This window comes from Homo sapiens, chromosome 1 (assembly GCF_000001405.40).
Source record: "Homo sapiens chromosome 1, GRCh38.p14 Primary Assembly".
Classification (NCBI taxonomy): domain Eukaryota; kingdom Metazoa; phylum Chordata; class Mammalia; order Primates; family Hominidae; genus Homo; species Homo sapiens.
In genome coordinates this window covers 107,139,504-107,157,569 of record NC_000001.11, presented here as the reverse complement: position 1 = coordinate 107,157,569, position 18,066 = coordinate 107,139,504, and the positions used below count along the sequence as shown (strand labels likewise).

General features: G+C 38.2%; 1 protein-coding gene across 18 annotated transcripts in view, besides 4 other annotated features; it reads right to left on the bottom strand.

Moving 5' to 3' along the window:
- The window catches only part of NTNG1 (netrin G1), a 344,836-nt gene extending 327,354 nt beyond the window's left edge, over positions 1 to 17,482 (bottom strand). For 7 of the 18 annotated variants that reach the window (XM_017000683.3, NM_001312688.2, XM_047449449.1 and 4 more), the window contains exons 1-2: positions 17,371 to 17,482; positions 8,731 to 9,501 (exon numbers count right to left, since the gene is read on the bottom strand). In XM_017000683.3, coding sequence (XP_016856172.1) covers positions 8,731 to 8,976 — 246 coding nt within the window. In that variant the 5' untranslated portion in view covers positions 8,977 to 9,501; positions 17,371 to 17,482. Of the gene's footprint in view, positions 1 to 8,730; positions 9,502 to 15,125; positions 15,749 to 16,110; positions 16,236 to 16,429; positions 16,532 to 17,370 lie in introns of those variants that run through there. The other 11 variants (NM_001372169.1, NM_001330665.2, NM_001113226.3 and 8 more) reach the window with 3 other exon arrangements.
- Positions 15,837 to 16,116: a silencer, noted in NCBI's record as "silent region_1130". NCBI's record gives its function as "represses an Ori minimal core promoter by ATAC-STARR-seq in GM12878 lymphoblastoid cells {active_cell/tissue: GM12878}" and the evidence as "EXISTENCE:reporter gene assay evidence [ECO:0000049][PMID:35858748]".
- Positions 16,137 to 16,426: a silencer, noted in NCBI's record as "silent region_1129". NCBI's record gives its function as "represses an Ori minimal core promoter by ATAC-STARR-seq in GM12878 lymphoblastoid cells {active_cell/tissue: GM12878}" and the evidence as "EXISTENCE:reporter gene assay evidence [ECO:0000049][PMID:35858748]".
- Positions 16,137 to 16,891: a biological region, named in NCBI's record as "H3K27ac-H3K4me1 hESC enhancer GRCh37_chr1:107683301-107683832".
- Positions 16,360 to 16,891: an enhancer, noted in NCBI's record as "H3K27ac-H3K4me1 hESC enhancer chr1:107683301-107683832 (GRCh37/hg19 assembly coordinates)". NCBI's record gives its function as "activates a minimal SCP1, AML or CMV promoter by ChIP-STARR-seq in naive H9 embryonic stem cells {active_cell/tissue: H9 hESC(naive)}" and the evidence as "EXISTENCE:reporter gene assay evidence [ECO:0000049][PMID:30033119]".

The following is an 18,066-nucleotide window of genomic DNA, read 5'->3' as shown; positions in this document are numbered from 1 at the left end:
AGATAATTTTGTCATTATTCTTTTGGTTAAACTCCATATCCTCATTTATTTGCTAAGGCCTTTTAGTGTAAGAAAATGTGAGAATATAATGTGCAGTATTGATGAGGATAATGACTAGCATATTTGCATAACATGCTGGTAGAAGTACAAATTGTTAACTATCTTTCTCTATCTTTCTGGTGGACAATTTGACAACACCAATCAAGAACCTTAGAGTGTAAAATCCAAAAAACTGAAATGCCTAGGAATAGAAGGCTGGCTGAAGAGATATTCATATGCTAGAATACTATACAACAGTTTATCTCAAAAACTTCATGTTCAATTTAAAAAAGGACATTATGCAATGTTTGGTACAGTATTTTTCCACTTATTCGAGTTTCAAAAACAATGCTACATATAATTTGTGGATCATAATCAGTATATACTTTCCAATTAGTTGTTAAATAAGAGAAAAGAATATAATGGAAGAAAAAATATCAGAGGCCATAACACATAGAAAGTGTAAGCTCTGTTTTGTGAAGCTTTTGTTTTGGCCGTGTGTGGGGATAAGTGTGTGTTTACTGTGTTCCAACATAAAATCTATTTCTCACTGTGGATCGATTTAAAGCAAATTTTAAAGCCACAGGTATAGTTTACAAGGTGTAATTTACTCATCTTCAGCTTATTGCTTCCAAAGAGATGGCCTGACTTCGCTTAATACCATGTGGTCAAGGCTACCTTCCTTCTTCCTCCAGAAGCACAGACAAAAGAGAGCAATGACCAGAGAGTGGGACCTGCCTAAGTTCCCTGACACCTCTTTCCCCATGACTGACACGGAGTATACATTCAATGGCAGTTCTGTCCCTGGACCACACAGGAATGCAGCCCTAAATTTTTAGCCTCAATTAAATACAATACAATGAGCTCAACATCCTAAAAACATACACAACATTGAAATCATTTTGCCATATCATTCTTTAAACAAATTTACTACTATGTTTTCCATGTTTATTTTTCTCATTATATATTCTTCAGAAATATTACTTTAATAGCTATACATATTCTATTATGTGGCTATACAATATTTTATTTAATTGCCTTCCACTTGGATATCTTGATGATATTTTCATTCTTTTTTCCGTTGGTTATAATGCTGTGTTGAACATATATCAGGATAGCCTTTTTTATCTAAACAGATTCTTATTTCCTCACATACCAAACCTCCTATATTTAATTAGAAATAGAAAAAAATTCTCATATATAGTCTACAGAAAAAGAGAGAGATTTCAGTATCTGAGTTCAGAGTAGATTTTGCCTCTACAATTTCTTTTCTGAGAGCAGCATAAGCTGCCCAAGTACAGTAGCTAAATTTTGCTAGTTGTCTCTTAATTTACAGAGGAAAACATTAGATTTATGATAAATGTGCTCAAGAAATAGAAAACATTACGGTAATCAAATACAGTCACGTGTCACTTTACGACAGGGATACATTTTGAGAAATGTGTCATTAGGTGATCTTGTTGTTATGTGAACATCATAGAGTGTACTTACACACATCTAGATGGTATACCCTGCTACACATACCTAGGCTGTATGGTATAGTCTATTGCTCCTAGGCTACAAGCCTGTATAGCATGTCACTATACTGAATACTATAGGAAACTATAACATGATGTTAAGTATTTGTGAACCTAAATCTATCTAAACATAGAAAAAGTACGTAAAAATACAGCATTTTAATCTCATGAGACCTCTGTAGTATAAATAGTCCCTCATTTACCAAAACATCATTATGTAGTGCATGACTTTAAAATATTCAAATCAATTAATTAGCTAGAACCATGTTATCATTTATTTGCTGCCTTGGAGTATGTTCAAGGAATAAAAAACAATATAATATATAGTCTTTAGTGAATTCCTACTATACATTAGCAAGTGTGGTGGCTCTCTCACATATCATCCCACTTAAAGAGTAGTGACCCACTTAAAGAGTCAGAATACAGTAAACATGAAGCGAATGTGTATGTGGGTATATAAATCAATAAGATCTAATGAGGTGCTAAATGGTGGAGTACAGTTGAGTACACAGGCAGTGCTGGCTACTATATATGTCTATCTAGATATAGAGATCTATACATATTAGATAGAGAGATAGAGATAGAGAGAGAGAGAGATTTAACATGAGTTAAAAAGTCAAGAGAATGATATGACCTGAAATTAACTTGAGCTAGACATTGAAAGATAGGTGGCATCAGAGTAAGTGGAGAAGAGCACGGACTATGCCAAACAGAAGAAATGTCTTCTGCTTGTCCTCCTAGAGACAAGAGATGACACGAGGGCTTCATGGTGATAACACTAGTCCTCAAAATCAGAGGATCAAGAGACCATCCTAAAGCCCATGTTAAACACAAAACAAAACAAAACAAAAATCAAAGAAAAGCAGAGCAAGCCTTCCAAAATTCTGGAGAATATGCTCATTATAGTTCAAAACAGTCCAGAGAGACTGATGCTTTAGGGCAATGCTTCTCACACTTTGCAAGTGATGATCCTCTAGATTAAAAGCAGACAAGGTTATCTCCAGGGGGACTGAAGGAGGTAACTTCAGTATTCCACTGCAAAGCATTCATTATTTTGAGGTCTCATGTTTCACCTTTAAAAATGTTGCATCTCTGCATTCGGTTAAATCTTTCCCCTAATCTTAACGTGAAATTGGAGTTCCAGGTAGATAAGCCACATTTGTTTTACTCAACATAGTCTGGTATCTCTTAAATTAATAACTATATATGCATATTTGAAATATATATACATATATATATTCCAACCTGATATATATATATATATCAGGTTCTTTATTATTTTGTTCCTCTTCCATCCTGGCTATATCTGCCAGATAGAAGAAGAAGTCTACCATTAACCAGGACACCAGGCAGTCATTAAAACACTGTGCCACCATCTGCTCCACCCAGTTTTTTTTTTTTTTTTTTTTTTTTTTTTTGAGACAGGGTCTTGCTTTGTTGCCTAGGCTGTTGTGCAGTGGCATGATCTTGGCTCACTGCAGCCTTGACCTCCTGGGCTCAACAGATCCTCCCACCTCAGCCTCCCAAGTAGCTGGGACTACAGGCGCATGTCACCTTGTCTGGCTAATTTTTATAGAGATGGGGTTTCTTTCTGTTGCCCAGGCTGGTCTTGAACTCCTAGGCTCAAGAGATCCACCCATTTCAGCCTCTCAAAGTGCTGGGATTACAGGTATCAGCCACTGTACTTGGCCAACCCAGCCTTATTTTCTCTCCCTTTCTGGCACTGTTTAATATTTTCTCTCCTTTTCTGGCATTTGGCTACCAGATAGTATTTTCCAAGTGGCCTTTGACATGTTGCAAAATAATATTTCACCTTTAAATTCTGAGTGCTGGTCTTATTTCTCTATTCTTCTACCCTCTGTATACACACTACTTTGTATTAAGTTTGCTCAGGACTCTACTTCTGTTGGCCGCAATGACCATATATTATTCGACATTAGTTATCTCCACCACCACTAGGTTTTGCATGTGCTGAATGCTCTGTTCACTTCACTCTGCAAACAATGGTTTGCAGTAATGTTTGTGAGGCATTAGCTCAACAAAGAGCACTTACGCACACTATCTGGGACAATAAATGACATGAGGTGGTTTTAGGTTTTGTTACATTTGCCATAATCTTCATCAGCTCCTTCCTAAGACCTCTCCAACAAGCCATGCATGCTATGCCAAGGCAGTTTCAACTCAAATCCAGTTGTCCCCTTCCAATCAGATTGCCAGCCATAGTCCCCTGGAGATGCTATAGAGTCCTGATGAGAAGTAGTGGACGATAGGCTGTATGCACCCAAATTCAAAAAACAGGTAGAGTAATTTAGACATGATGCAATAGATAGTAAGGAGCTATTGTAGGCTCCTCAAAAAGGAAATACTTGATATAGTGGTATATGAGAAAGACTTCCTTGGAACTTAATTCATTCCAAACATGAGTTAAACTTTTCTAAGAAATAAGTCTAAATAATGAACTAATAACAATGAAGTGTTAATAATGAAAGAACTGAAGGTTTTTAAAAATTCCATTTTGGCATAATTAAGGGATAAATCAGTTCAAATGAAAGGTGTCACTGTTACTAAAACTTCATTCATTTACTGAATTATGTTTCATGTGAACAGAGTGTATTTTTAAGATTATTTGATTATTATATAAATCAATGTCATTTCCAGTTTTTGGAAAATTGATAGTAATTCCATGTCATGGAAAATGTAACTGAATTTATCAAGTTCTTTTCTCAAGGGTCACCTGACAGCCACCAGATGGCAACCTGAGCCAAAGGTAAATCAGAACTTGAAATTATAGATAGCCCTGAGATTATGAGTTACCAGTCACTCATCTCTCAGCGTTCCTTTGAAACCACAAAACACAAAGGCTTTGTACCACTTCCGTAAATTCCATTTGAACATAATGAAATATGCTCTATCCACAATGCTTACAATAATTAAAGTTTCTTTCATAATAGAAGTCTATCTAGAAATAGCACAATATGGAGTGATCATTAATAGATCTGTTAAGGTACTTGAATAAATGCCTATCGAGAGCACAGGCACACATTAGTAAATTTCCTAAGTAAAATCCATTTTCATTTCACATTCTGACATTTTATTTAGAAAAATTATACCTTTTCTTTTAATTATTTCAGTAAACATAATGAGGTTATTGCTAACTGTACCTCAGAGTACTTTATTTTCTCCAATTTTTTAGTAATATGAGTCTACTTGTAATTAAAGGCATGCTGCATTAATGATGCTGAACGTCTCCAAGGGAAACATTTAATGTCCACCTCATAATATTATGCCAAAATTACATGCACAGAAGACTTTTTAATAATCTTTGTTTCCTAATTTAGTTTTGATTGGCTCTGAAATCCATAGCAGCACTCAAGGGCTTCCATTTCTACAGTGATCAGCACTTCTGAGCCATAAATTGTATAAACACACATGAGTTCTTCCGTCTGTAGGCTCCTTTTCAAAGCGTCTGTTTAACTTATCCAGAAAATTAGCTGCAGGCTAGAGATAACTGCAGATAATTTTGCCATTTTTAAGCCACTGGGGTGTGCGGGAAGATATGACAGCTAAGTTTGTCTAAACACAAAGAAAAAGTCATAGCTTTGTGTTGTCACTTCAGCTTTACACACAGGTTCAGATCATCCTCTCTGCTCTTTATGCAAATTGAAACAAATTGTAGTCACTAGATGATCTGTGTTTCCTGACAAAGCTCTGCCACCTGAAGCTTTCAATGTGGCTGAAAAGATAGGATCTATTCAAATGTGTTTTCCCAGCCTAAAAAAAGGGTTAACCCCCACCTTCCCTTCAGATTCTTCCCCATTGACAAAAACAGAGATTTTCTTTAGCCATCATCAACTCAAAAGGAATATATCAAATTAAAAAGAAAATATATGGTTTTCAATATATGCAATTTATATATATGTATGTGTATATACATGTATATATGTATGTATATATGTGTATATATGTATGTATATATGTATGTATATATATATGTATGTGTGTGTATATATATATGTGTGTGCATATATATATATTCCTCTTCCTTATCCACTATGATTAATAGAAATGGCAGTGTGCTCCTGAAAAACTAATGTTTATAAATACTGGTACAATTAATATAGAACAATTTTAAAGTACTTCACATTGAAGATTTATTAAGTATGCCATCCAGGTTAATAAGCAGAGATCTATTGTTAAATGGAATCCATATGCTCCTTCTTTTCCTGAAATTTTACTCTATATTAAAATAAATGCAACATTCATGGATAGTCACTGGCCTATAATGATGAAGTCAATGAAAAAAGCAGCAACACGGACTCTTAATGCAATGCCAATGAACTTCAACTTTATATTAAAGAAATTGGCCCTGGGAATTATAGGTATTTCTCTCAGCACATGTTCCCTCGATGCTCAGAACAGCTATAGCCACAGCTAATAGGAGTGTCACTAGCTGAACAAGTGATTACTGAAACAATTTTGCAGCAAACATTTACATATAGGGGCTAAGCAGTGGCTGTACTCATGTGGCAGCTCCCCTGATGTAATAGGCCATAATGACTCTGAGGGAGCAGGTATGGATGCAAGCGTCAAGGAGGGGAGAACGCATAAGTCATAACACAAATGACTTTATGAATCCCCATTACACCCTGGGCTAAGGAGTACCTAAACAGGTTTGATATGACAGCATCCTGAGACAGTTTCCCAACCTTCTGTCAGGAATCCTTATGCTAAAGAGTTTTATGGAACATCCAAAACTGCAGAGTGAATGTGTTGCTGTATTAGGCCATTACCATTGACGTGGTATATAATATGCATACAAATAGTCACAAGGTATATATTTAAAGGATAGATTATTAAATTTGTTATGCCTATCATATGCATATTAAGGAATACAAATTAAGCATTGATAGGTAATATTTCACAAATCTTACATTCTCCCTTGGAAAACCATTCTGTCCAATGACAAGTTTACATCCACCAGGGCTTCCAAATATCCGCATCACACTAAGATGCAGCCTTTTAAAGACTGTCCTACGGAGTTTCATGTGAACATACATAGTATACACATTACTGCACTTGAGAAAGCTGAGGGATATCATTTTAATTCTTTTTTCCCATTTGGTCTCTAACATCACTTAGCCAATGGACTGAGAGGAATGGACTTGTTTAAATACCTTAGACCATGTCCCTTTGAAAGGCAGGCATGGGAAGATCCGTAACATGCCCTTTGCACTCATGATGGGAGGAAGAGGCATGCTGAAGACACCAAGTAAACCCTTCAACATGACAGACAGGAGCAGTGCTAAGCAAGCATTCTCTGGCCAGAGACTGAGATCAGGGAAGCTGCACCCACAAATCACACCTTGAAAACATCACACAGGGCTTATGAGAGGGAAAACAGCACCCTGAGAAAGGAAATTTGCTATTTTACTTAGATCTGTAAATTATTAAACAATTCCAGAAGGGACATGTTGTTACAAGTGTCATGTAAACCAATATACAGAGCTAGAGAGTTCTTAACAATATGCAGACTTGGCCTGGAACTCATCCTCTGCTATAAGGCGTAGAAGACTATACAACCTATCACCCAAACAGCAATTTCAACCCAGATTTGTAATGAGCTCTTATAGTTGACCTTTCATGAGAAATTATTAAAGACCTCACATAAAGCCACCACAAATGTCTCTGCTCCTGTACTGATTTATTATGATTTTGCTAATGTGTTTGAATAAACTCCTTCTCTGGAACTCTCTGCTTTCCAAAATGCAACTTCTTTGCAAAGCACATACCTGTTCCCATAGAGACGGGTCCTCTCTTTGAAATATTTAGTCTTTCAGGGCACTTTAGTAACAGTGACACCTAATAGCCAAGTGCTTTTTCTCACTCTCCACAAAATCAGGTTTAGACTATAATTCAAACCAGTCCCCAAAGGCACTTCTGAAAAATGGCAAGCCCTTAGCTTTAAGGTGAAAACACTCTTTATTGCTCAAAATTGTTTCCTGTTACAAAACCTTTTTTATGGTGCTAGGTCTAAGATGATCTTATGCTAATTTAACTCACTGGGGACTGTGAACAGATGCTACTTTGATTAATAGTTTCACTATCCTGAAAATGCCAGGCCAGGTTCAAGATAATATAGTCAGGTAAGATTATTATTAAAATCTGCCATACAATTATATCTGTTATGTGGAGAAAAACAGGATCGCAGTTCTTCTATCAAATAAAAACCACCTATAATTAAAAAAAAAACCAAATGAACTCACCATCTGAACTCTTTAGCACATTAATGTATACTATTTTAATCACCAGCCTCTTTACTAATACTTATAGAAATATTGTCAGCCATGTCTTTCTTAAAAATTCAATGTGTTACTCCAATATTACCTTTTCACATGGTATTTAACTTTCTATGCAGAAAAAAAAGGACTTATATAAGCCTTCAGAACAATGAATTCTGTAACTTTGCTCATCAAAAAAAAGTATCTGAATTTGTATATGCTGAGTCCTTGCTTTTCAGCAAATAAGTTTTCTATATTCCAAAAGTCATCTTTAAAATATACATAGAAAACTATGACCTTGACAATAAGGGGAGTTGGCAAATAAGATTTTTCTGGAAAAACTTCTCACAAGGCTTTAGTTCCTCTCTCCTCTACTTTTTTTCTTGCTGATCTCCTAACCAAGGACTCCCAAATCATAGCAGCTTCCTGATGAACATAATTATGAGATCTAGTCTCTCCTTGAACTACAGAATTTAGGACTGGCTTTATACACATATGTGAAGAAACATTTGTGTTTTTAAAGTTGGTTTGCCAATGCATTTTATCCTTAACATGACAGATATGACCTAATCATATTTCCAACCTCCAATCTAAAATTTAACTTTCAATCGAACTTTTTCTTTTATAATATATGCTATAGTGTACCTGCCTCAGTGAAACTATAGGTTTTCAGGGAAGCGGAAAGTAAGTTCCTTCCAGGGCATCAATCACCCTGCACAAATTGTAACTCCAGGCAGTGTAAGCCTCCACTGAGAAAGAAACTAGCCTGTTAACACAAATCTGCCACCTGCAGATTCAACTTATTGCATGAATTGTCTTCACACTCACCACATCTGTATGCATATGCGATTAGACCCTATTTATATGAAATATTTTATGCAAAAGGGTTACCTCACCATTGCACAGAACGTCTCAGGAGGGTCTCCACAGGTAATATCCGGAGGATCGAGTTTCACTTTCAGATATTTTGTCATGTCCGTGGATTCCGGCTGGCAGGCCATGTAATCCCAAACTTTCCCTTCTTCCGTGTAAATCTGAGTCTTACACAAATCATAATGTCCCCAAACCAAAGGGTAGGGCTGCATCACTGAGGACACCGTAACCCAAAGGGCATGAATCGACAGGAATCTTGACAAATACATCTCTAAATTCTTTGTAATCTTCTTGGAAACTAAAGCAGAGCTTGCTTTATGATCTGCGATCTTTGTCTAGTTTACATATATATACACATATGTATGTATGCGTACGGGTAGGTAGGTCTCTGTATTTTTTTTTAAATGAAGATGGGACCTCAAAGCAGATCCCAAAACCAAATATGAAGAGTTAAGATATTGTGCGTATTCAGGTATATTGAGGACTTTGGTGGAAGCCTAACATACTTGTGTGTTAGGCGTTAACAACTTGCAGCTTTTTCTTTGTCTTAGAACATATCTATTAGACTCAGGTCTAGTTTGGTTTTTGTAAAAGATGTCCAATTGCAGATAATAATTTAGCAAAGCGATGGCTCTCCCGTTGTACATCCGATAACCCTGAGTGATCCTCAATGTTCACAGCTCACAAGGGATGCTCAAGCAGGCTGAGATATCAGTATCTGAAGCAAAAGGATGAGTGTCTATAGCCCGGTGTCTGTTTCCCATCAATCATTCTTTTCTTCTGGCACCAACACCCTTTTAGAAACAATAAGAGTAAGTGTTATTGTCCCAGAATCAATATATTACGAAATGTACAATATGTTGACATTTTGGAGGTCTGATGCAATATAAAGCAAATTGGTGTAATACAGATAACCTTTACTCAGCTGCTTTGCTAGAATGAGCAAACCATGGAAATCATTCACATTGGGGAGAATTTTAATATGAAGGATTTAACTCTTCCATAACAAAGACAGACACGTGTGCGTGAGTTACAGGTTTTCACTTCAAAAATTATATTTCCATCTTGACAAAACTGAGAGCAAGCAGCTAGATTTGAACATTTCTCATACATTGCAGTGCTAGAAAATCTTCCAAGAGAACAATGGGGTAAATGAGCACTTTTATAATGATGACAAAGAAATGACAACTACTTATATCCCTTTTGTCTCTTGGCAAAGAGACCCTAAAAATCTCCAAATTCCTTGTACTTTTCTTAGCTTTTCTTTGCTGGAGTGAAAATCCGCATTGTTGGCATAAGCCTGTCCCTGTGGATTTGCTCATTACATTGGAAGAATTTAGCATCTTTTGTTTAGTTGCATTTAGTAATAAAGATAAGTTGGCTCTCTGAAAAAAAAAAATCAAAAATAAAACCAAAGGAGCAAAATTTCCTTTCATAAGAATTTTCTATATTTTTACATCTTTTTATAGCCATTACATCTGCATTTGCCGTTACTTTTTGTAACAGAAGAGAATTTGTCCCAAAGGCGAATATTATAAGCTGCTTTAAAACTAAAAGCTCTGTAGTAAAACGCACAATTTAAAATGCACACATAAAAATAGCCGAGGGTGAGTTAACAGGCCATGAAGCAGAATAATATGGCACTAATTCTAAGAGAAAATAAAAATTACTGTGTAAAAGTACTTTTGATTAACTGATAATGCATCCTACATAACTATGGCTACAAGTCATTGGTGAGTTTAACTGGCCACTTTTCTGTTTAGAGATCACTATCCAAATCTGAACAAATGCTAACATTTGGAAACCAGGTATTAAAAAGTATAATTTCTTAATTAGATTGCTTATATTTATAGTCTAAAAGTTAACTGATTTTTAAGCAATGCAAAAAGGACAAAAAAGCCTACAATTTTAGAAAATTCTATTATAGACCCTTCAATTCACATTAAACAGTTGAAATATGGAAGTTCACTATCTTCAAACAATCTTATAAAGGGAATTCATTATATTTAAATAATGTACCATCTTAAAATGAACTAAGCCACAGAGACTATGAAATGCCAACAGATGGTTGAATTGTGTTTCCATAGCAAAGTAATTTATAATAATTGCTTTATGGATGCAAGTGCAATTTTCATTATATTCAATTCATAAAATGTTATCATACAGCTGCAATTTGTGATATTTTCTAATAGAAAAAGTGTTGAATATTTGAGTTCCTATGAAGCAATAATTAGTAGTTTGTCTAAATATGTATAAACTACAGATTTGAATCAGCCTCTTCCTTGTAACCTAAAAACTATACTGGGTAAAGCCCATTTTGAAATCTTAAGCTAAAAAGAAAAAAATCAGAGAAGCATGTGTTGTGGCTACTATAGCCTTCTGCTTTTTTTCAGATTCATTAGTAATTTTAAGTTGATATTTTCAGACACATCCAACAATTTGACAATTAATAATCTGAGGTGTTAAAATGATACAAATTTACATTTTTGAGATGAATTTTTCAACTGTGTTTACTAGTTTTTATAAGAGGAAACAAATACTTTCCAAAGGGCCGGGGGATGGAGGCATTATAACTGAAGCAGTGTAAAATCTATTAGGTCAGAAATTATTAACTTTAATTCTTAGTTTCAAATACACAGTAATTTATTTATCAAGAATGATATAATCTTGAAGACCCGGAATTGACTGTTTTGAGTTTGAATGGAGTGAGCATTGTGTGTTTATTTTTAATATTAGTTTGAAAATACCACTTTAAATATATTTGAGTGCTTCCTGAGATTAGTCTTCACTTTCTTTTTTAACCAACAAATGATATTCTCCTCATCCATTTATTCTCGGTTACTCTGTCCTCAACCACATTTTGCATTACTGCAACCACAAAATAAAGGGTGACCATACATTTGTACAGGAAAAATTTGAACACTAAGGAAATATATGTGAACCCTTTGCTATCTCCTGACACAACAGCAATCCCAATATAACGAATTCTCATTAAAGTATACCAGGATTATAATGATGGTCATTACACAGAATTATGGACTACACCATTGATCGAATTTAGAGAACTGACAAGGAAAAATGCAGAAGAGTGCAAGATATTTGAATATTAGGCAGTTGCAGGACTGTGCAACAGACATTCTTGACAAGAGGCAGCCAATTATAGCTTAAATTTCTGGCACATAACCAGTTGTGATTAATAGTTTTCCATTACATTACAGACATATTATTAATGTATTAAAAATGTCAAGCTTTGGCAAGCACTAATATGGCATGGCTCAGTTAGTCTGCAGAGTTTACATTTAATGAGCTCCCATTGACACAGAAAAAGATATTGACCACGGCGTATTACAGATCAGGAGCAGAGGGACACTAAGCTGTTATTTAACATAATTATTTGATTTCATTCTAATTTTTATATTTGTACTATTGTTATGTATCCTGCATTTCAGGGTCTTCTTACTTTTCAGTGTCACATATACTTCAAAGGAAATCCTCTTAACTTCAAATTAGTAAGAAATTAAATCTATGAACTTCCATGACACACAATGGAAAAGCAGCCTCTGAAAATCAGGAATTTGTTATTAAAGTATAATTACAGAGTTTTCAAAGAAAATACAATGATGTAAAAATAGAATATTATTTACAACTTAACCTCCACTATTTAATGGCACTGTGTCTATCTGCTGTGCTTTCAAACAGGTTAAAATTATCAATAGCTTCTTAAAAGCTAGGTCATCACAGCAAATAGCTAGGGAAACCAATTATGAGAAGGACAGTGAATAACATATTTGGGGACTTAATATACTAAACCTATCCCTTCTGGCCCATAACTGAACTAATTGTGAAGTGACGTGGCCTTTAAATTTGTCTCAGGTGTCCGTATCACCTAAATAAGAACAGATTCATAAGAGCTCTGGGCAGCTCCAGTTCTACCTCTTCACTTTGCAGACCTTGGGAACTCACTGTAATCAAAAATGCTACCACCTCTACTTGGGAACTAAAGTACTGAGAAGTCTCCTTTGATAAAAATACCCATTAATAGGTTGTGAGTACCCCATAGACCTCCGGTGTATAAATTTGCAGAACCAATAATAAAAGGTAAAATTAAGTCATGGCCCTCAAGTTGATAGAGATTATTGATCAGGACTAAAATGGGCTATAAAATGCCTTTGCACACACAAAACATGTATTTGTCCAGGATTCTGCAGCTAATTCCCTTCCACCTTGGATTAATTTTGCAGAAGCCATTTTCACAGGCCCTTTCTTTCACCAGAAAAAAAAAGCCTCCCAAAATATTACATGGAAGTAATAATGGTTAATATTACAGGCAATTATATTCCAAAAGCAATTGCCAGTTTCATCAACTGAGAGGAAGACATTATCAGTAAATCTCCTAATCTAGCTGGTTTTCAGCATTCATTTTATTATATAATCTCACTAGCAGGTGGGAATGGTGGTAGTAAGCTATTTTTTTCATAAATATTCAGCTTTTCAGGGGTACCTGAAATACACAACTATTGACTCATTCCTCATTCACATTAAGAATTTTATAAATATGCATGTTTCTGAATGGGAAGGAACAAAAGGAAAATTGACTATATAGATCATTGAGTGAAAATATAAAAAGATAAAGATATACAAAATTATAACCTATCAAAATTAGCAGCTTCCAACAGTCATAATGAAATTTATTACATAAGATATTTTAACATGTATTCAATGCTCTTTGCAGCTATTTGTTCTGAAGAAAGCATTTTCTAGTCAACTTAATGGAAAACATATGCTTCTATCCTTTTGTTAACTGTCTCTCAAAATATAAGGAATTTAATATGTACTGCAACATCATTGGCATAGCTTACTCACACTTGATTGGGTATTATGAGCAACTGTCTATCATGAGATTCTTAATAAACCCAAATAACACACCGTGGTAATTGAAAGATCTCTATTTTCATTGAGAGAAGACTGATTCAAGAAATTAGATAGCACATGTTTTGCAGGATGATTGAGGATGGGATAATACCCAAAACTATTTCAGAATCAGTTAAGCCTAGAAGAAATCTGGAATTTAATTACCACATGAAAAACAAATATTTAATTCTCATGCAGGGAAGTTCAGAGATCTAAGGTCTCAAACGCATATATGAGAAAATCTACACCTACCTGAAGTTTTGAAACAGAACTTTGGATTCTGCAAATAAAATTATTTTTTAAAGTATGCTAAATCTCATACTAACCTAAGACTTTACTAATATAATCTCCTATACAATATAATTCACACACATATATTTCAATGTTAACATATAATTGGTTTTCAAAGTTGAATCCAATTTTCTTTTTTCCAAGTGACTTGATGCCTTTGTAACTAAAACTCTCCAAATTTTTATGACACTTAGAAATCCTATCAAATAAATGTGTAATGGTTTAACTTTTTAAACAAATTACCTGAATATTTTTCAGAATAATAATGGAAGCAAAAATAGGTATTTGCACCACTTGCAAATATACAAAAGGAAACTGCAAAATACATTTGCCTCCTCCTAAAAAGGCTAACCTGAATCATTTTAACACATATACCCATTGAAAACTGACAAAACAAAAATATTAACAGGAAACCAGCTTTATGTTCAAATAAACTGTTTCCATGCAAAAGTTTTAAGATTATCCGTCTTAAATTCCACAGTAAGGAAATACCACCAAATTAGTAGTGCAGTATATAGAATCCTGAATGCCTTCATGGTGGTCTTCAGTGGGTGAAATATATCTCATTTCACGGCATCCAGAAAAGAAAATATATCCCTGGAACAACATTACATGTGAAATACTTGATGCACATTTTTCCTTGCATGTTGATCCACATGCAGAGATCCAAATTTTATCTTAATGAAAAATCGAAAGTTGCTTATCTTCAAAAAGAATCTTGGACAGTTACTGAGCTGCTTTTCCTTTGCCAAAGAGAAAGGGAGGCGGGTAAGGCATTCAAAGTGACACAGTTCAAAATACTTAATGAAATGTGGAATTGCTAATTCCCTCACTAGAGATCCTCCTCAAGGGACAAACAAAACAGAAAAGCCTCCCCTGAAAAAAAAAAAAATTATTTTTTGGAAAACTTTCCAACAAGCTTAACTACTAAGCATATCTGAATAAGTGATTTTAATGGAAGATCTTCCTGGGTTTTTTTTTTTTTCATTTCTGTAAGATAAAACAACTTTTAGTATTTTCAGTCATAAAACAGGGCCTTATTTCTAGAGCAATTCTACTGCCAGATTCACCATATGTTTAGTGGAGTTCTGAATCTTACTCAGAATTTTCCATTCCAAAGATTGACAATTTGTTATGAGGAGTGGCTCCATTATTCCCTGTATAAAGAGAAGAATGGGTGAGAGAGGAGGACCGTCTACTCACTGGAAATCTGTACCTGATGCAACTATAGGAGCTCAACCTGCGACTTTTCCAAGTAAAGTTGCTTTAAAATCCCCGCTAGGAATTTTCTTCCCTTGCCCTGTAAGATGACAGCCTACTCTTAAGTGGATTTCTGAAGGAAAAAAAAAAAAAGTCCCCGGGTGAGGGTACTAAAATTAACAGCAGAGGGCGCAGTTTCTTTTTATATCTAAGTTTTTCCTTGTATGAATCACTTAATTGGTTATTTTAGGCCCAATAATATTCAGTATTATTTGTATTATATATAGATATCCACAGATCCATACAGGAGTGCAATTCAGTGTCCCTAGCCGAATCCATCAACCGATTAATATGATGCCAGTAAAGAATATGAGAGAATATTCCAAACAGCATCCCTACACCAAGTCTTCCTCTTTCAATTTCCCTTTCTCCCCAGCTGCACAACATGGGATAGTAATGTTTTAATCTAGCACCAATAAAGGCGATTAAAAGAAGGGACTTCAAAAGCTCTCGATGTGGCCACCAGATCCCCAAGGCCGGCAATAGGGCAAGTGTTTTTTTGTTTTTTTTGTTTGCTTTTCCCCAAACAAATATAATTGGCGAAAGAAAGAAAAAATAACGACAAGCCGCCTGAGCGATGTGTGTGGCCAGGTGTGCGTGAGAGAGGGAGAGCGCGGGGCCCCTGTCAGTCGGCGGATGGAGGCTCAGACCCCACGCCTGGGCTCCGGACACAACAAGAGGACGCATCACCGGCCCGGGGCGCACCCCCGGGAAGACTTGTGTGTGGGTGTGAGCGTGTGCCGCTGTGTGTGCGCGTAGGGCTCCGCGCGCTGCCTCCTCGGGGCGCTTTACAAAGTTCCTCGCCCACCCGGAGCCTTCCCTCCCGCCTGTGCATCGCAGCGGGTGGGGCGGGGGGCGGCGGGGGGTGGGGAAACCCGGGGGAGAGGGGCACGGGCGAGAGGCTCGGGTCGCAGTAGGAGAGGCGAGCCGCAGGCACTTACCGTGTGGCTCGTTTGCCCTTGCGCCGGGCGGGAGCCGAGCCGACGGCGCGGGGCGGCGGCCCTGCGCAGCCAGCCTGGTCCGCCTCGGGCGGCGGCCGCAGCAGCGGAGCCCGCGGGCGGCGTACGGGCGGAGGGCGGCAGCTCCCGCGGAGCCTCCTCCCCAGGCGGGAGCGGGCGGAGCGGGAGGGGTGGGCGTGAGGACCCGAGCCGCCGCCACCGCCGCAGCCCGGGGATTCCGATCGCGCCCGGCCGCCGGCGGGAGAGGACCCCGAGGACCGAGAACCCAGCGCCGGCCCGCCACTCCCCGCCGCTTAATTACCTTCGCCTCCGCCCCCGGGGGGAGCCTCCTGCAAGTCGCCCCCTCTCGGAGCCCGCACCCAGAGGGGGAATTCCTTCCCGTTGACGTCCTCTTCCGAAATGCAAAAGATCAGTGACTTTGACAGGTAGATGAGGGGGAGGGAGTAAGGGTGGGCGGAGAGGAAGAGAGGATGAGAAAGGTGCCTCTCCCTCCAAAAATATAGTGATATTAATAATGAGATCTCAGCCTTCGGAGGTCGTGCCAGCCCAGTCCCCTGCTCGCCGGCTCTCCTCCGCGCCTCCTCGCTCCGCTGCCTCTGACACTTCTCGCCTTAAACTTTTACTGAGGGATATTTTTTCTTTTTTCTATTTCTATTTCTTTTTTTTTTCCTCTTTTTTTTTTTTTCAAGCCGCAGGACGATTTTCTGGTTCCCGGGGATCAGAACCAGCGGCCAGGCGGTTCTATGCCGCTTGGCACCGCTTTCATTTTATTTCAGATGAAGACGTTGAGCTTAGTCAGAAGGGGCATAAATCAGGACAATTAGCATTGGCGCCAAGAAGATCCTCTAATACCAATTTCGCCCGGGTTTCCTTCGCGCATTCCTCCACTCAAGTCAGAAATGTCACTGCACATAGCACTGATGGCAGTGAGACGCGACGCACCCAAAGTCCGTTTGATGAAATATACATGGCCCACGACGCTTCTGGATTGCGGCTCCCGGACTCCCCGCCCCCACCAGCGGCTCCCGGCCGGGACCCTGCTCCGAGCGGGCAGCGAGCTCCTGGCAAACTTAGGGGCCAGTGCCAATTAAAGAGTGAGCGCGAGAGCCGGAAAGAGGAGCGGCAAAGAAGCAAGCCCGGGGAAGCCGCAGCCCTCGGAGGGGTGGCATGTACGTTTCACTTAAAAAGCAGATCTTCTTCTGCAACTGCCAGCAAGTGGAAGGATAGCAAACCTTATACTACCTCGAGACCTGTGCGCTCCGAGCGGTCCTAACTCCGTCCCGCTCGCTGTTGCTGTTGCTGGTGCTGCTCCGGCTGCAGCTGCTGCCGCTCCACGACCTCGGGGCGCTGAGGCAACAGGGCCCCCTCCCTCTACTCCCCATCCCCCCCGGCTCCTCCACAGAAGCGCCGTTTCCAGTAACTCCTCGTGTACCTCCCACTTCTGCCGCCGTCCATCCCACCCCTCTCTCTTCTGTCCCCTCCCCAAACCGTTCCCAAGCACACCCTTCGCCGCTGGAAGTGATCACAATGTTGTTTTTCAACAAGCACTTCCTTTGCCCGGAGGCCCCTACAGCCCTAGACTGGAAACTCCTCCTTTAGAAATTCATTCCCCTTTAAAAAGTTGAAGTTCAAGGGAGAGCTGCGCATTTCAGGCTTCCTTGCCTTTTCTAAGAGAAAGACAAATGCTCCGATGCTCCAGGCTTCATTCCCCACCAAGGCGGGCTCAGACTCACCTGGGATCACTCTTAGCTACACATTAACGTCAAACAGAAACAAATCCGAATTTAGATAAGATAGGGAGACTTCCATTAGAAAGAAAGACTATTGCAACAGGGAAAACGCTCTGATCTCAGAAATCTGCAAACCTCTCAAAACCAAACAGAAATCGGCCTTTTTTTTCTATATATATAAGGGGGAGCAAGCAATAGGCAAAGCCAA